A 16,537-nucleotide genomic window follows, 5' to 3' on the forward strand; every position below is an offset into this window, starting at 1 on the left:
TTTTTTTTAGAGATGAGTTCTCACCATGTTGCCCAGGCTGGTCTCAAACTCCTGGGCTCAAGTGATCCTCCTGCCTTGGTCTCCCAAATTGCTAGGATTACTGGTGTGTGCCACTGTACCTGGCCTTCCTTTTTCTTTTGAAAAAATCCTTAGGTTTTAATAAAATTCCACGTCCTCCATTCTCTGAAATCTGTATGAAGTACCAGAAGTCTCAATTTGACAATAGACATGGTCAGGATATTTCTAATGTTTGGATGATCCTCTGCAAACTAGAGGCCAGCAGACTTCTGTAAAGGGCCAGAGAGTAAATATTTTTGGCTCTGTGGGCCAAATTACTCCTCTGTGCTGTATAGCATGAACGCTGCTGTAGACAGTATGTAAATGAAAGGATTGTGTGCCAATAAATCTTTATTTACAAAAGCAGGCATTGAGCAGTAATTGGCATCCTGGCTGGGGCTTGCTGTCCTTGGTAAGCAGTGGTTTTCAAAGTATGGTTCCCAGACCAGCAGCATCAGTATCCCCTGGGAACTTGGTAGGGATGAAAATTCTTGGACCCCACTCTAGACCTACCGAACCCCAAACCAGAAGTTAGGAATCATCTGGGTGATGCTAATGCTGGCTCCACACAGCAGAGCAGTTCTCTGTACAACTGCTCTACAGAGATGTGGCCTGTCTGCCATTTGTATTCTAATTAGCATGTGCAAAACCTCGGAATCACGGTTGCTGGGACCCAGGGACCTGAATTTTAACAACTGGCTCAGATGGTTTTATACACACTGAAATCGGAACCAGTTTCTAAAGCAGCACTTCTCTGAACCAGTAGAGGACGTGGGGGAGGCGTCAGGGAAGTTTTTCAAACTACAGCCTGAGCTTGCTTGGGGTACTTTGCAAGAAGGAGGGGGTAAATGTGGAAAATGGGAGCAGTTGTGGCTTTTTGTTAGCTTATTGTGAACTCTGCCCCTGGTACCTGGTCTGGGAAGGTGGATTTATTTCTTTTCTCCTACATGTAATGCGTGTTTTGAAACCCAGGAATTTCTGAAATTTTAAAGCCTGTTGGTTGTAATAAATATTGCACCCCACCACATTTGCTACCACATTTGCGAACTTTTATTTAGTATTTGAAGTGAAAACGGGTTGAGAAATATACCGTATGATCCATTGGTATCAAATATCTTGAATATGCAAATGCTTCAAATGCTTGAATATGCAAAGGCAGCAAAATGGTGGTTACCGGGGCGGAGTGCAGAGGGGAGGGTCTGCCAGCAGGCGTGGGGTTTCTGTTGGGGTGATGAAAATGTTCTGGACTTAGAGAGTGGTGGTTGCACAACTCTGTGAATATACTAAAAACCCTTTGATTCTATACTGTAAAGAGGTAAATTTTATCGTATGTGAGTTATACTCAAGAAAGCAGTTATTTAAAAAAAGGAAATGGGTCGAGGTGTGTGTTCAGCCTTATTCTTGAATTGTAGAGACCTCACTGAGAGGAGGCTGACCCTGAAGGCCCCTGTTAGAGCCCATCCTGGGGCAGTTCTTCAGTGGCCCTGAATTCGTGTCACAGGGATCATCACTAAGCTGTGATTTTTGGTGCTGGATCTGACCCAGGAGCAGACAGGCCTGGGAAAGAGTGTGTGTTGTTTAAGGAGCCTCACCTCTGAGTGGGTGAACCCCGATTGAGGGAGAAACTCACATGGTGTTCCTCCAGGGCATGTAGCTGGAAGGCCCCCTGGGCTGAGGAGCTAGTGGCAGCCTGCAGGTTAGGGGAAGGGGGGAGGAGGCTGCAGTGGGGGAGGTGGGCAGGAGCCAGGGCCTTGCTCCAGGGCAGTGGGAGCCATGGAAGACTTTTAAGCAGGGTGTGGTGGCAAAGACCACTTGTAATAGAAGGGCAAATGGGTACAGGAGTTACAGGGAGGAATTAGGAAGCCTTGTCCTACCAGCAGTGATAGAGAAAAGTTAAGGGATGCGAGTGGTACCACCACGGCACAGTATCCGCATCTGGTGCAGGGATGGAGAATCCTGGTGCCTGAACACACGTGTGCATCTGTGCATGACTGCTTGCCTCTCCCTCCCTCCATCCCATCTGCCTGGGGGAGGCGAGGGCTGAGCAGGGATCAGTCCTGGGAGTCCTGGCTCCTGGATCTGTGCTCAGTGCCACGCAGGTGGCAGCTCCAGAAAGCTCTGCGGAGGGAATGGCCAAATCTGGTGCAGACCAGCTCCTCTCTGCCCAGGTGTGGCTAGGCTGCTTCAACATGCTTGCTTAGTGCCAGGAGGAGGAGGAGGAGTGCTCAGTGCCTCCGGGCAGGAGCGGACCTCCCTGGGGCTCTGTCCCTTCTCTGAGGACTCCCAGCAAACACTGGCAGCGGGGGTCTTCAATGCACTGTCCTAACTGCTTGGGCAGGAAATGAAGCAATTTGTTGGAAAAACTCAATTTTGAGAATAAGAATAATAATTCTTCTTCTTCTTCTTCTTCTTCTTCTTCTCCTTCTCCTTCTCCTCCTCCTCCTCCTCCTCCTCCTCCTCCTCCTCCTCCTCCTCCTCCCTTCTCCCTTCTCCTCCTCCTTCTCCCTTCTCCTTCTCCTTCTCCCTTCTCCTTCTCCCTTCTCCTTCTCCTTCTTCCTTCTTCTTCTTTTCTTCTTCTTCTTCTTCTCCTCCTCCTCCTCCTTCTCCTCTTCCTCCTCCTCCTCCTCCTCCTCCTCCTTCTTCTCTTCTTCTTCTTCATATTTTTAGAGACAGGGTCTCACTCTTGCTCAAACTGGAGTACAGTGGCATGATCATTGGTCACTGCAGCCTTAAACTCCCAGGCTTAAGCTATCCTCCTGCCTCAGCCTCCCAAGTAGCTGGGACTAAAGGCTTGTGTCACCATGCCTGGCTAATTTTTCGATTTTTAGTAGAGACAAGGTCTTGCTATGTTGCCCAGGCTGGTGTGGAACTCCTGGCCTCAAGTGATCTTGTCTCTGCCAATTTCATGTTATTCTTAAACATAAGATTTTATTTGAATGGTCACCATAAATAGATCTTATTTTTGTAGTTATGTCTTCACTGCATGTAAAATTGTATAGTGTGCTAGGAAAACAGAATCAGGTAGTAGTTACTTCTCCCAGGAAGAGGCAGGATCTATACGAAGTCATTTTTGCTTTTTGCTTTGTTTTTGGTAATAATCATGGAATTATGCTCCAGATTTACATGGAGAAACAACATTTTTTTTCTTTTTTCTTTTTTCTTTTTTCTTTTTTTTTTTTTGAGACAGGGTCTTGCTCGTTTGCCCAGGTTGGAATGCAGTGGCGCAATCACAGCTCACTGCAACCTCCACCTCCCAGGCTCAAGTGATCCTCCCACCTCAGCCTGCTGAGGAGCTGGGACTATAGGCATGTACTACCAAGCCCAGCTAATTTTAAAATTTTTTGTAGAGACAAGGTTTTGCCATGTTTCCCAGGCTGGTCTCCTGGGCTCAAAGTATCCTCCTGCCTTGGCCTTCCAAAGTGCTGGGATTACAGGCGTGAGCCACTGCAGCGTCCCAAGAAATAACATTTGGGTATGAAGTGAATGAGGCTCGTTTACATTCCAGGTTTTCCCCCAAATCTTTTTAGTTTAAACAACAGCTTAAAAATTAAGGTCGGCCGGGTGCTATGGCTCACACCTGTAATCCCAGCACTTTGGGAGGCCAGGGTGGGTGGATCACCTGAGGTCAGGAGTTCGAGACCAGCCTGGCCAACATGGAGAAACCTCGCCTCTACTAAAAATACAAAAAAAAAAAAGCTGGGCGTGGTGGCAAATGCCTATAATCCCAGCTACTCAGGAGGCTGAGGCAGGAGAAACTCTTGAACCTGGGAGGCGGAGGTTGCAGTGAGCGGAGATCGCACCATTGCACTCCAGCCTGGGAGACAAGAGCCGAAACTCCGTCTCAAAAATAAATAAATAAATAGAATAAAATACAATAAAAGATCATGGATTTCTAGTAAGAGAAGAGAATATGTAAGCTGGAAAGCATAAACCTAGAAATCTTCCATTCCATAGATTTTGCCCCTCTCTTCCTCCCCTCCCCACAAAGAAATAAGTCATTTGGAGCAAAGCAATTGCTTAAACTTTTCTTAGCTGGTTTCCGGAGCTCCCTGGGAAGAATGAGGGTGGAAAGCTGGAGGGGCGTTCTGGGTATTGGAATGCAAGCCAGTGGATCTGTAGCCCGCTGTGCTTCTGGGAGCCTGACACGACACACAACCGGCACACAACCGTTGTGCCCTTTTGAACTGTGCAGGGTCTTAGCTGGGCTGGGCAGTTTGACACGGCTGTTTTCACCATCAGGACGTTCACTTATGGTTGAGTACCTGGCAAGGGTAGGGAGAGAGGAATGTTCCCAGCCATCTCCTGCGGGACACTTGGGCGGCTTTCTCCCTGGGACCCCCATCTCGAGATGGCCTCGGGATTGTGGAGGGGGTGGCAGGGGTGCTGGGTTTGCTTTCATGAAAGAGCAAAGCAGTTTCCCTTCTACTTATCTTGTTTTCAGATGTAGTGGAATAAGCCAGGAAATATTTCTCCTGGATGAAAGGTCATTCTTCTTACATTGGAAGCTTTGGAAAAATCTCCCTAAATATCAAAATACAAAGGTTATGGAATAATATGTGCTTCGAATAGCTTAAGTGGTTAAAAAATTCTCTTTGCAGCTCAATATTAAAGGAAAAATAATAGACTGTTCTTGGACAAAAATGAAAGGGATCACGAAGAATGTGTTTCCAGCCAGCTTCCTGCACTGGGGTTATTGCACCAGGACTGTCTCCCTAGTAGAGGCCCTGTTTACTATGTTGCTTAGTCCTTGCTTCACAAAAGCAATATTTGAACCAATAATCCCACAACAGCATGACATTTTAACTTGTAAGACTTTGGGTTTTCACAACATGGTGGGAGTCTGTTTTGGTATTTTGTTCTATAAATTCAGTTGGGGCTGACAAAATTAATGAACTGGCATTTTAGAGAAAGTGACATTGTAACTTCCCCTCCTCTTCGCATGTTTACATCCACACTGATAAAGATGCAATCTTGTCTGTAGCTCATTCTCCAGGAACTTGAGTGTCAAGGACAGTCTGCACGGCCCTTGGGAAATGGGCATTCCCTGGCATTGAGTTGTTAATTGGACGCTGAGTGCTCGAGCTGCATTTATGGTTCCATATGTGGGTGTATGTTTGTGTTTCAGTGAGGAAGATAGTAGCTGCTTCCCTCCCACAGCCTTGTGGACCCTGGCTGCACATTTGAGTTGCCTGTTTGACGCTGTCTGACCCTTTCTTAGCCAGTTTCTGGAGCTCCCTGGGAAGAATGAGGGTGGAAAGCTAGAGGGGAGTCCTGGGTATTGGAATGCAAGCCAGTGGATCTGTAGCCTGCTGTGCTTCTGGGCACCCAACACGACACACAACCGTGTGTGTTCCCACAGAACCTCTGTGTGTGTCTGAAGCCCTCTGGGTGACTCCACCTGTGGCCACAGTTGGGAGCAAGCCTGCCTGGGCCTCCGCCTCCTGCAAATGTGATAGTCCCCACCCAGGGTGGGTGCATGTGCCTCTCACGGTAGCAACTCCATGGCTTGCCTGAGGTGGGCCAGGTTCTTCGGGGGCTAATGTCTCACCGCCCTGTCCAGTTCTGGTTCTCAGTGAATGTGTTATGCCATCATGACCTTTGTCACTTTCTTCCCCTTGCCTTGTTTTTGCACATTGGAATTTGCAAGCGGGTCTGTGGTCATCCGAAGTTGTGCTCTTCATGCATAACCTGGCCTCCACGCCTCACTGCTGGGCTCGGATGACACAGGTGGGAGACTTCTGAATATTAGAAGTTTATTGGAACATCTAAATTGTATTCTAAATAACCTTTTTCTTTTTTTGACAGGTATCATTTTCCTTTTTTTTTAATCTCTATTTCTAAGAATAACTTTATCTTCAGCTCTTATCCATCATTTAAAAACAATAACAAAAGAGGCTGGATGTGATGGCTCACTCCTGTAATCCCAGTGCTTTGGGAGGCTGAGCTGAGAGGATCGCTTGAGCTCAGGGGTTCAAGAGCAGTCTGGGCAATATGGTGAGACCCCATCTCTACAAAAAAATACAGAAGATGTAGCTGGGTGTGGTGGTGCACGCCTGTAGTCCTAGGTGCTTGGGAAGCTGAGGTGGGAGGATCACTTGAGCCCAGGGAAGTCAAGGCTGCAGTGAGCTGTGATTGTGCCTCTGCACTCCGTCCAGGGCGACAGAGAGCTACCCTGTCTCCATAAAAAAGAAAAAGAAAAACAAGAAGAAAAGAAAAGATTACTATGTACATTCTCATCTTTCAAAGAACGAACAAGATTTGGGAAAATGCACCAAGGCTCAAACGCTTTTGAAAGGTGGACAGTGGTAGAGAATGTTGAGTCTTTGGGCCTCTGGTCAGCTTTTAAGGCCAGGGTGAAAACAGACCCTTGGAAATGTTACTGTGTATTCAGTTAAATAAAAGAAGGGGGATGACTCCATTCCTCCAGTGCAGTGGTGAAACCTTGGCTGTGCTCCCTGGGGGAGCTGCGAAGCGCTATTGATGGCCAGGCTGCACCCCAGGCCAGTTAGTCAGGAGATGGAGGGGCAGGGGCAGGTATTGGTGATTCTAAAGAACACCAGGAGAGTCCAGTGTAGCCTGGATGGAGGGTTATGGTCTTACATGTTAGCCTTGACATTTTTCTTTTTCTTTTTTTTTTTTTTTTTGAGACAGGGTCTTATTGTGTCACCCAGGCTGGAGTGCAGTGACGTGATCTGGGCTCACTGCAGCCTCAACCACCCAGGTTCAACTGATCTTCCCATCTCAGCCTCCCAGAGTGGTGGGATTACAGGCATGAGCCACCACGCCCAGCTAGCCTTGACTCTTGTTGGCAGGTTAACAGACAGGCACCAAGCATTCTCTGCAAAGCTCATGGTGAACATTGAGTCCCCCCGGCCAGGGGCCTGCCTGAGTTTAATGAATGGGTGTGTTTTCTGAGCTCGAGGGGGCCACATTGGTTCTCTTTGGTTTGAGGCGAGGGAGCACGTCAACCTTTGGTCAGGCTCTGGTGGCCAAGGTGTCACAGGAAGGGAAAAGGTGTAGTCTGTGCTGAGGCTGGGGCCGAGGGATTTTCAAGCAGAAGGAGCTCCAGGGAGTATGGAATGCACTCTCCTGCCTTGGGGAGCAGGGAGACCAATAGACCCAAGCAGTTCTGGGAAAGTAAGTGGTGCTGCTGTGTGGGGAGGTGGAGCAAGGAGGAGGGAGGAGGCCTTCCTCCGCTGAGAGAATAGGGTCCTTCCGGGTCGGGGTGGTTGGGCTGCATTGTATGGGGTACTAGCGAAGGACCTAGCAGGTGCCAGGCTAAATGCTTTCCAGCAGGGCTTCTCTAAGAGTGCTCTTCCCATCAGCAGCATCAGCTTCCTCTGGGAGCTTGTCCAAAATGCAGAGGCTCAGGTCCTGCCCCAGTCCTGCCCTTTAAGGGCAGGGTTTCACACTGCTATAAAGAATTACCTAAGACTGGGTAATTTATAAAGAGGCTTAATTGACTCACAGTTTCACTTGGCCGGGAAGGCCTCAGGAAACTTACGATCATGGTGGAAGGGGAATACGCACATCTTACGTGGCAGCAGTCGAGAGAGAGCAGGCAAGAGCAGGGAAAACTGCCTTATAAAACCATCAGATCTTGTGAGAACTCACTATCACAAGAACTGCATGGCGGGGGAATGCCCCCATTATCCAATCACCTTCTACCTGGTCCGTCCCTTGACACATGGGGATTATGAGAATTACGATTCAAGATGAGATTTGGGTGGGGACACAGAACCGAACCATATCAAGGGCCTTCTCGAAGGATGCTTCTGATCATAGGCTGGTGCTTGGGAACCTCAGCCTGATAGACTTTCTCTTATCCATTCCTCATATGTGTTCCAGGGAAGAAGTTATTGTTCTTCTTCTTATTATTATTGTTGCTTTAGTGACAGAGTATTGCTCTGTCAGAGTAAGCCTTACCCAGGCTGGAGACCAGTGGCATGATGTTAACTCACTGCAACCTCCAACTCTCCCACCTGAGCCTCCCGGGTAGCTGGGACTATAGGTGCCTGCTACCATTCCCAGTTAATGTTATTTTTTTTTGTAGAGATGGGGTCTCACTATGTTGCCCAGGCTGGTCTCGAATTCCTGGGCTCAAGTGATCCTCCAGCCTTGCCTCCCAAAGTGCTGGGATCACAGGTGTGAGCCACTGTGCCCAGCTTTCCTGTCTGTCTATATCTGTCTATCTGTCTCTTCATCCACACATACAATTTTACGAATGGCAAAGCAACGGTTATTTCTATTTTGAACAGGCAAATGACACCTCAGCAGGGTGTAGCGTAAGGACCATAGCGCTATCTTTGAGTTAGTAAACCAGATGCTAATCCTTTGTGTTGATTGACTTTGGATTTAAAACCTTTGAGCACAATTTTCACATATCTGAAGTTGGGAAGGTAATGCTTCCTGGGGTTGTTTGTTTTTGTTTTTGTTTTTGTTTTTTAAACAGATTCTCTCTCTGTTGCCCAGGCTGGAGTATAGTGGCACAATCTTGGCTCACTGCAACCTTCACCTCCCAGGTTCAAGTGATTCTCCTGCCTCAGCCTCCTGAGTAGCTGGGACTACAGGCATGCGCCACCACCCCCGGCTAACTTTTGTATTTTTAGTAGAGGCGGGGTTTCACCATGTTAGCCAGGCTGGTCTCAAACTCCTGACCTCAGGTGATGCACCCACCTCAGCCTCACAAAGTGCTGAGATTACAGGCATGAGCCACCACGCCTGGACCCTGGGGCTGAGTAGCTGTCGCCAGTCTACACATGCCAGCTGTTACCAGCAGCACTAGTCAGAGACCCCACTTTTCCAGTGCCCTTGCAGTAGGTGTGATTGCTTTGTTGGCTAAGAGCTGACCCCAGAGGTTTGTGGTGACAAGGACCAGAGCCATCCTTTGGAGGTGGAGTTCCAATGATGCCCAATCATGATGGGGGCCGCTGTTGATCCGTACACACTCCGATTCCTTTTCAGCCCTTAGGGTGGCAGGGACACATTGAGATTCTAGGGCCAAGAGACTGGGAGCCAGTCCTAGTACAAGGCATTTTTTTAAATATATGGAAACAAGGATGGTGAATCTGGAAGTTGAGAAATTGCGGTTGCCTGAAGGTGACTCACAAGCGAAGGTATTTCTAAGCCAGAAGAAAGTATGATTCAGATTGAAAACAGAACTCACACCTGCCGGTTGCGGCAGAGTGATCTGAACATGCTCATTACGACAGTCTAGTTGGGGTAGGTACAAAGCTTATTTATCATGCATGCTTTCAGGATGAGAAAACCAAGGGCTCAGATCTAATACAATATTATTCAGGTTTCAGGTTCAGTTGATGCTTTTAGGAGAGCATTTTGGCCCAGTTTTTTTTATTTTTATTTTTATTTTTTAAGAATCATTAGCTAATGGTTTCAGAAAATACATTAGATTATTTCAGATTCACACTGGCATGTCTTGGGCTCTGCAAGTCTCCCTCTCTCACACACAGTAAGAAGGTGGCCTTCTGCAGTCCAGGAAGAGACCCCTCACCGGAACCTGATTATGTTGCCATCTTGATCTTGGACTTCCCAGCTCCAGGCTGTGAGAAATACGTTTCTTTCTTTTTGTATGTGTGCTGGGATTACAGGCATGGGCCACCGCACCTGGCAGAAATACGTATTGTTGCTATTCCCTGCTCCCCTCTGCCCCTGGTAGCCTCTATTCCACTTTCTGGTTCTATGAGTTTAACTGCTTGAATCTCTTTTTGCCATGTACACGGAGCAGGGGGAGTGCTGGCGCCTGGATGGTGGCCTGAATTTTCTTGCTGCCTAGAGTCGCTGATCCACCACAGCCATCTGTCTGGAAAGTGGGGTCAGCTGAATTGGAAGTGGCATCCTGATGAATTTCCGACATAGAGCTTGATAATTCTTATCCTTCACCCAAAGATTAAACTGGAAGAAAGCAGCTTGTGGCTAAGAAAATTGATCAGTTTAGCTGTTACAGGGTCTCAAGTGAACCCCTGGTTTCTTTTTTTTTTTTTTTTTTTTTTTTTTTTTTTTTTGAGACAGAGTTTCACTCTAGTTGCCCAGGCTGGAGTGCAATGGCGCGATCTTGGCTCACCACAACCTCCACCTCTTGGGTTCGAGCGATTCTCCTGCCTCAGCCTCCCGAGTAGCTGGGATTACAGGCATGCACCACCATGCCCGGCTAATATTTTTGTATTTTTAGTAGAGACAGGGTTTCTCCATGTTGGTCAGGCTGGTCACGAACTCCTGGACCTCAGGTGATCTGCCCGTCTCGGCCTCCCAAAGTGCTGGGATTACAACCCCTAGTTTCTTAGATAACTGTCCAGCCTGTTGGCAAAGGCCAGACATTAACACCATGTGTTGAATGCATGGGTCTCACGAGAGGCATCTTGTGAGTTCTGAGTTTAGGCAGAAGGCGAGAGAAGTCAGATTCTGTTGTGCGTTAGAGGAAGGCTTAAGGTTGAACCCATGGAACTACACACAGGAGAGTGGGGAGGGAAACTGAGGAAAACACTGACTTTTGTCAGAAAAGACTGTTTCAGAGGGGAAACCGAAATAGCTGGTTAGTGCCGTAGATGTGGTTTGTCAACATGGCACTATCGACATTTGGGGCTTGATGATTCTTTGCTGTGGGGACTTTTCTGTGGATTGTAGGATATTTAGCAACATCTTGGCATCTGTCTCCAAATGAGGACAACCAAAACTGTTTCTAGACATTGCCAAGTGTCTAGGGGATGGGGACCACAGTCACTGTGTCTTGGTCTGTTCAGGTTTCTATAACAAAAGACCATAGACCAGTTGACGGTGGCTCACGCCTGTAATCCCAGCACTTTGGGAGGCTGAGGTGGGCGGATCACCTGAGGTCAGGAGTTCAAGACCAGCCTGACCAGCATGGAGAAACCCTGTCTCTACTAAAAATACAAAATTAGCCGGGTGTGGTGGCGCATGCCTGTAATCCCAGCTACTTGGGAGGCTGAGGCAGGAGAATCGCTTGAACCTGGGAGGCGGAGGTTACGGTGAGCTGAGATCGTGCCATTGCACTCCAGCCTGGGCAATGAGAGCAAAACTCCATCTCAAAAACAAACAAACAAACAAAAGCAACAGACATTTGTTGCTCACAGTTCTGGGGGCTGGAAATCCAAGATCGAGGCGTGGCAGATTCAGTGTCTGGTGAGGGCTTCCTGGTTCACACAGTGCCTTCTTGCTGTATCCATGCATGGTGGAAGGGGCAACAGAGCTCTCTGGGGTCCCTTTAATAAGGGCACTAATCCCATTCATGAGGCTCCACCCTCATGACATAATCACCTCCCAAAGGCCCCACCTCCTAACACCATCACCATGAGGATCAGGATTTCAACATATGGATTTTGTGGGTGGGGGAACACACACATTCAGTCTGTAGCACACGCCAGTTAGGAGCCACTGCTATCCACTGTCAGATTCTCCCTAATGTGTCATCCTTCCCTTGGCCTTAGGGCTGGGACCCCTAGGGAACCTTAGTTAAGGTCTTCGCACCTTCTTCTTTCGTGTGTTCTCTTTGTGCTGAAGTTTGCTTCAGGTGTTTAAGAGAGTCTGGTCCTTGAAGAGGCAGGATGACCTTGGCAAGACCTGGAGGAGCCAGGGGTGCCTGTCCAGAGGCAGGGAGCTCCTTAGGCCTGCACAGTGGGGCTTGGCCAGGGATCCATCCTCAGGACTTGGTTCTGCTATGGGAGGTAACGCCCACCCTGTGTCTCTCTAGCCCGCCGAGCCCCTCCCTCTGCAGCACACCCCTCCTTGCTGGTCTTGCACTTTGTGTTTGTCAGGGAGCATGACTAGGTTGGTGGGGAGTGGAAAGGAAATCTCCAGTCCTGAGGGATGCTGTCCCGTGGCCATCTCTTGGTCGAGTCTTTTGGAATTGTGTGCTGGCTCCCTCGAAGTAGAATGCATGTGACCATGTGGCACATGCAGGCTTAGTAGTTAGGAAACCGTTTACCCAGTAGGCACATGGGATAGGGAGCGGGCACAGCTAGAGCTGGGAGTGCCCCAGCACACTAGACGAACCAGCAGGAGCCTGCATATGAACCGGCTGAGCTCCCCAGCTGACCGCTGAGCTCACTTGCAGGTCAATGTGTCCTGGGGCTTGCTTGTTGAACACTAACGTGTGTGCAGGTTGCAGGGGTAAGGGTGGGGGGCGGGTGCACCTCACTCTGAGCCCGCTTCTCTGATGGCCCCTGCTTGCTGGTCTACCAGGTGTTCCTCTGGCCAAGGTCAAAACCTCAGATATTTGATATTTCTTGTTTTGTGTATAGGAAGTACTAGAAATCTACTTTGTAATGGGTCAGAGGAAGGGGAAGGACTTATTTGTGTTGGTTTTTGAAGCAGGAAGTGGCCACATGCAAAGGTTTTCCTGTGACTGGGCAGTCACAGAGGGGAGATGAGATGGGAGGAGGAGTTGCCGGCACAATGGAAAGTGCTTTACTTCTACTTAACAAATGTCTTCTCGCGTCCTTGTGGAGAAGGAAAACAGCAGGTGGCCCTGGGACTCTGTTGACTAGGAAATGACAGACGGAACAAAACCGCAGCCTCAGAGCAAGCATCCCTGAGCCCCTTCACTGTCTGTGTGTGGGAACACATTGGTCCTCATTCCGTAACGGGAATCTGCCAGTTGTGGAGCGGGCGTTTTATTACCTGTGACCGCCCCATGTTGAAATGAATACACTTTTTGTCCAGTTTTCTCTCTGGCTCTTGTGTTAGTGTAGTGACCCGCAGTCTCTCCTCTCCAAGGCAGACTTCCACATTTTCCCAAAGTGCTGGAAATTCTCTTCTCCTAGGTCATCATGAAGAAAATGAATCAAAATACTGGGAGATGTTTGCTCTGCAGGCTACTTTTGTTTAAAACTATATTATGAATCACTGTACACATTTTCAGCTACCCCACCCCTGCATCGGACCTCCTAATTAGGGACCTCATAACTAAGCACTTAGTTACTAGGACATTGAGCGCTGAAGGACTCCACTGACAATGAAGAGACACACAAGTAGACTCTGTGTGTGTGTGTGTGTGTGTGTGTGTGTGTGTGTGTGCATGCACGTGCACACATGATAACAGAATTCCAGACAACTCCAGACAGCCAGAACTACTTTGGTTGCAAGTGACAGAAATACAGCCTAGACCATTAGCTTCCGTGGGAGAGGGACTGCATTAACTCCCCAGCTAGAAAGTCTCGAGGGGCTTCAGGCATGCTGGAGGACCCACTGTGTCTCCCTGTCCCACCCCACTGAGATCCGACGGCCTCCTTCCTGCTGGCCTAGTTCTCCAGCACATTTCCCACAGTGGCCACACGTGTCCCTGGGCTTGTGTTCTACAGACCTGCAGCCTCAAAGGAAGGATATGTTCCTCCCTGACAAGCCTCGCTGAGGTTCCCATCTACACTAGTGGTTCACAATTGGGAGTGACTTTGCTCCCCAGACATTTGGCAATGTCCAGAGGTATTTTTGGTTGTCTTAAGATGGGGGGATGCCACTGGCCTTTGTGGGTGGAGAGCAGGGATGCTGCTCAACATCTGCCAGTGCGCAAGATGCCCCCCACAGCAAACGGGGGTCCATCTCAGTGTGGTGGTGGTGCTGAGCCAAGAGCTGCAGCGCTGGACCTGTCACCCTATCCCAGGACTGTGGCCCCCAGCATGGGTTGAGTCCCATGCACCAGGAGAGTGCTGGGGAAGCCTGTCAGGAGGAGGTGGTGTCCTCCAGAGGGAGGAATCTGCTGGAAGAAAAGAGAGGCTCAGACACTCCGTGTGGTGTTGCATGTCCTCCAGAATGTTGTGCGCATGGGAAATGCTGTATAGGTGCCTGCAGAACCGAGCCGGCAAGACAGGGAGGCAGAGCTCCCTCCAAAACAGGGAGCAGAGCTCGGTGCTCACTGCTTTGCTCAGGTGTTGCCAAGGCAGCTCGTGGAACTTCACCTGGAAGAGGTCAAGGGGAAGCCATGGGCTCATTGCGAAGTAAATTGGTGTTGCTCATCAGTGCTCTTGGCCATTCCTCCCCAGTGCTCTTTCTCCACCTTATTTATTTATTTATTTATTTATTTATTTTCTTTGAGACAACATCTCACAAAAAGTAAAAAAAAAAGAAAAGAAATAAAAAGAGCATCTCACTGTTGCCCAGGCTGTGGCACAATCATGGTTCACCTTTTACCTTGATCTCCCAGGGTCAAGAGATTCTCCCACTTGGGTTTTCCTTGTCAGGGAGCTGAGCCAGGTAGAGAGGGGTGTTTGCAAGGTGCACTGCCCGTGCCTGCAGGATCTGATTACTGGTGCAGAGCCCATGGTTTAGCTTTGTGCTGGCTTTGTTCTAAAACTTCACCCAGCATCTGCCACTGTGCAGAAACAGGTGGCGCTCCATCAGGAGGTGGTGCTGTCGTGTCCTACCCAAGGTGCCAGTCAGGGGAGTCCCTGTTCATCCTCATTGATTCTGATGTCCAGAATCTTACAGAGAATTTTTTTCTTTATGTAAAGTAGGTTTTATTGTGTTCACCTTGAAAACAACTCACTGATGGGAAAAAACACACTGACAGTGTTGACTGCAAATAGAGTGACCTCATATCATTTCAAACTGGGAGTCAGGAAACTAGACCTGCAGGGCAGAGAACCTGTGCTTTGCAGTTGCCTGGAGGACCAGAAGTCCACAGGAAGAAAGGGCCAGTTGAATATATGCACGGACAGATGTGTATGGGGCAAATAATTCCCGGGGCTCTGTCTCCCTCTCTTCCCTCCTCCCTGTCCAGCAGTTTTAATGTTTCGAGCCTTGCTGTTCTAAGGAAGGAAGCAAGAGCAGCAGCAGCGTCATCCCCTTGGAAGCACATTAGAATGCAGGGCAATGGGGAGAAACCATGTGGCTGCACTAGCGTTTAGGAAAACGTTAATTCTTATGCCATCTTACAGGGCCTGGCTACAAAAAGTAAAATGAAGAAGAAAAGCAGCATTAGCATACACCATTGTATACCTCAAAGAAGGGTTGTGTTTTTAGCACCAGCGTGGGCCAGGAGGATTCTGATTTTAGAAAACCAAACTTTTAAGGCTTTGGGAGAGCACCTGCCCTGCCCTAGGGGGGTACTGGGTGCAGAAGCCCAGCACTGCTTTTGCCCGACCTCACTGGCTCTCTTCATGTTTTTTTTTTTTTTTGGTTGTTTTGAGTCAGGCTCTCGCTCTGTTGCCCAGGCTGGATGGAGTCCAGTGGAACCATCATAGGTCACTGCAGCCTCCAACTCCTGGGCTCAAGTAATCCTCTCATCACTGGAGTAGTTGTGTGCCACCACGCCCGGCTCAGTTTTCTGTTTTTGTTTGGAGGCTGAACACAGAGGTTCCCTGAAGAAAGTTGGTTGGAGCTGGAGTTGTTCTAGAACCTCTCACTGTCAAGTAAAGAACCCTGCTGAGCAGCTGAGCCTGGAAGCTTCTTCGCACCCCTGAGCACCTTTCCTGAGCCACGTACAGCCCACCTGAAGGCATCTGCACACCTGGAGAGCGGGGAGGGGAGGGGCAGCAGACCCGGGCACCAGATCAGCCCTGGCCCAGGCCCAGGCCCAGGCCCAAGGCAGCCGTCTTTGCACGGTGCAGTGGGGAGTGGAAAGGCCCATGTCCCCTCTCCCAGCTCCTCTTTTTAGTGGACAGCTGCCCTTGGGTAAAAGTGGACCATGCTCAGCCTCAGTTTTCTCTCTAAAAAGAGGGGAACCCCTGGCAGCATAGTGTCTGGAGTCTGCAGGGCCTCAGAGATTGCTGGACACATAGACAGCGCTCAACAGATAGGAACTGGAGGTTTCTAAGAACATTTCTGGGCCCGGTTTAGCATCTTTGCAATGTCTGTGTGCCCTCGCTTCTCTCCCTCTCTAGCTGTCCTTCAGCCTCAGCCTCAGTCTACCCCCCAGCTTCTCTCTCTCTCTCTTTTCTCCCTCTCTACCCCCTCCTTCTCCCTTCTCTCTCTCCCTTTCCCTCCCACTGTTTTTCTTTTACAGCTTTATCGAGATATGTGATTTTCTTTCTTTTTTTTTGTTAAGAGACAGGGTCTCACTATATTGACCACACCGGTCTTGAACTCCTGGCCTGAAGCAATCCTCCCATCTCAACCTCCCAAACTGCTGGGATTACAGGCGTGAGCCACTGTTGCCGGCCAATTTCTACACTATAAAATTCACCCATTTTAAGTATACAATTCAGTGATTTATAGTGAGTTCAAAGGTGTGCATCCTTCATCATGATTCAATTTTAGATCCTTTCCATCACCCCCAAAAGATTCTTTTTATTCCTTTAAGCCATCCCTTCTGGTTCCCACCACAGCCCCAGGCAACCATGAATCTCCTTTCTGTCTCTGGACTTGCCTCATTTGGACACTCCCTGTACATGGAATCCTGCAGTATGTGGTGTTCTGTGACTGGCTTTTTGACTCCGCATCATATTTTCGGGATTGATCCACATTGCAGGTGGTATCGGTACTCCATTCCCTTCCGGTGCCAAGTGCTGGT

General features: G+C 48.9%; 1 protein-coding gene across 2 annotated transcripts in view, besides 3 other annotated features; it reads left to right on the plus strand.

Moving 5' to 3' along the window:
* SHROOM2 (shroom family member 2) overlaps positions 1 to 16,537 on the plus strand; it is a 163,015-nt gene that overhangs the window by 34,111 nt on the left and 112,367 nt on the right. The gene's annotated exons all lie outside the window — the stretch shown is intronic.
* Positions 4,953 to 5,475: an enhancer, noted in NCBI's record as "H3K4me1 hESC enhancer chrX:9793532-9794054 (GRCh37/hg19 assembly coordinates)". NCBI's record gives its function as "activates a minimal SCP1, AML or CMV promoter by ChIP-STARR-seq in naive H9 embryonic stem cells {active_cell/tissue: H9 hESC(naive)}" and the evidence as "EXISTENCE:reporter gene assay evidence [ECO:0000049][PMID:30033119]".
* Positions 11,477 to 12,121: an enhancer, noted in NCBI's record as "H3K27ac-H3K4me1 hESC enhancer chrX:9800056-9800700 (GRCh37/hg19 assembly coordinates)". NCBI's record gives its function as "activates a minimal SCP1, AML or CMV promoter by ChIP-STARR-seq in naive H9 embryonic stem cells {active_cell/tissue: H9 hESC(naive)}" and the evidence as "EXISTENCE:reporter gene assay evidence [ECO:0000049][PMID:30033119]".
* Positions 12,122 to 12,765: an enhancer, noted in NCBI's record as "NANOG-H3K27ac-H3K4me1 hESC enhancer chrX:9800701-9801344 (GRCh37/hg19 assembly coordinates)". NCBI's record gives its function as "activates a minimal SCP1, AML or CMV promoter by ChIP-STARR-seq in naive H9 embryonic stem cells {active_cell/tissue: H9 hESC(naive)}" and the evidence as "EXISTENCE:reporter gene assay evidence [ECO:0000049][PMID:30033119]".

This window comes from Homo sapiens, chromosome X (genome assembly GCF_000001405.40).
Source record: "Homo sapiens chromosome X, GRCh38.p14 Primary Assembly".
Classification (NCBI taxonomy): domain Eukaryota; kingdom Metazoa; phylum Chordata; class Mammalia; order Primates; family Hominidae; genus Homo; species Homo sapiens.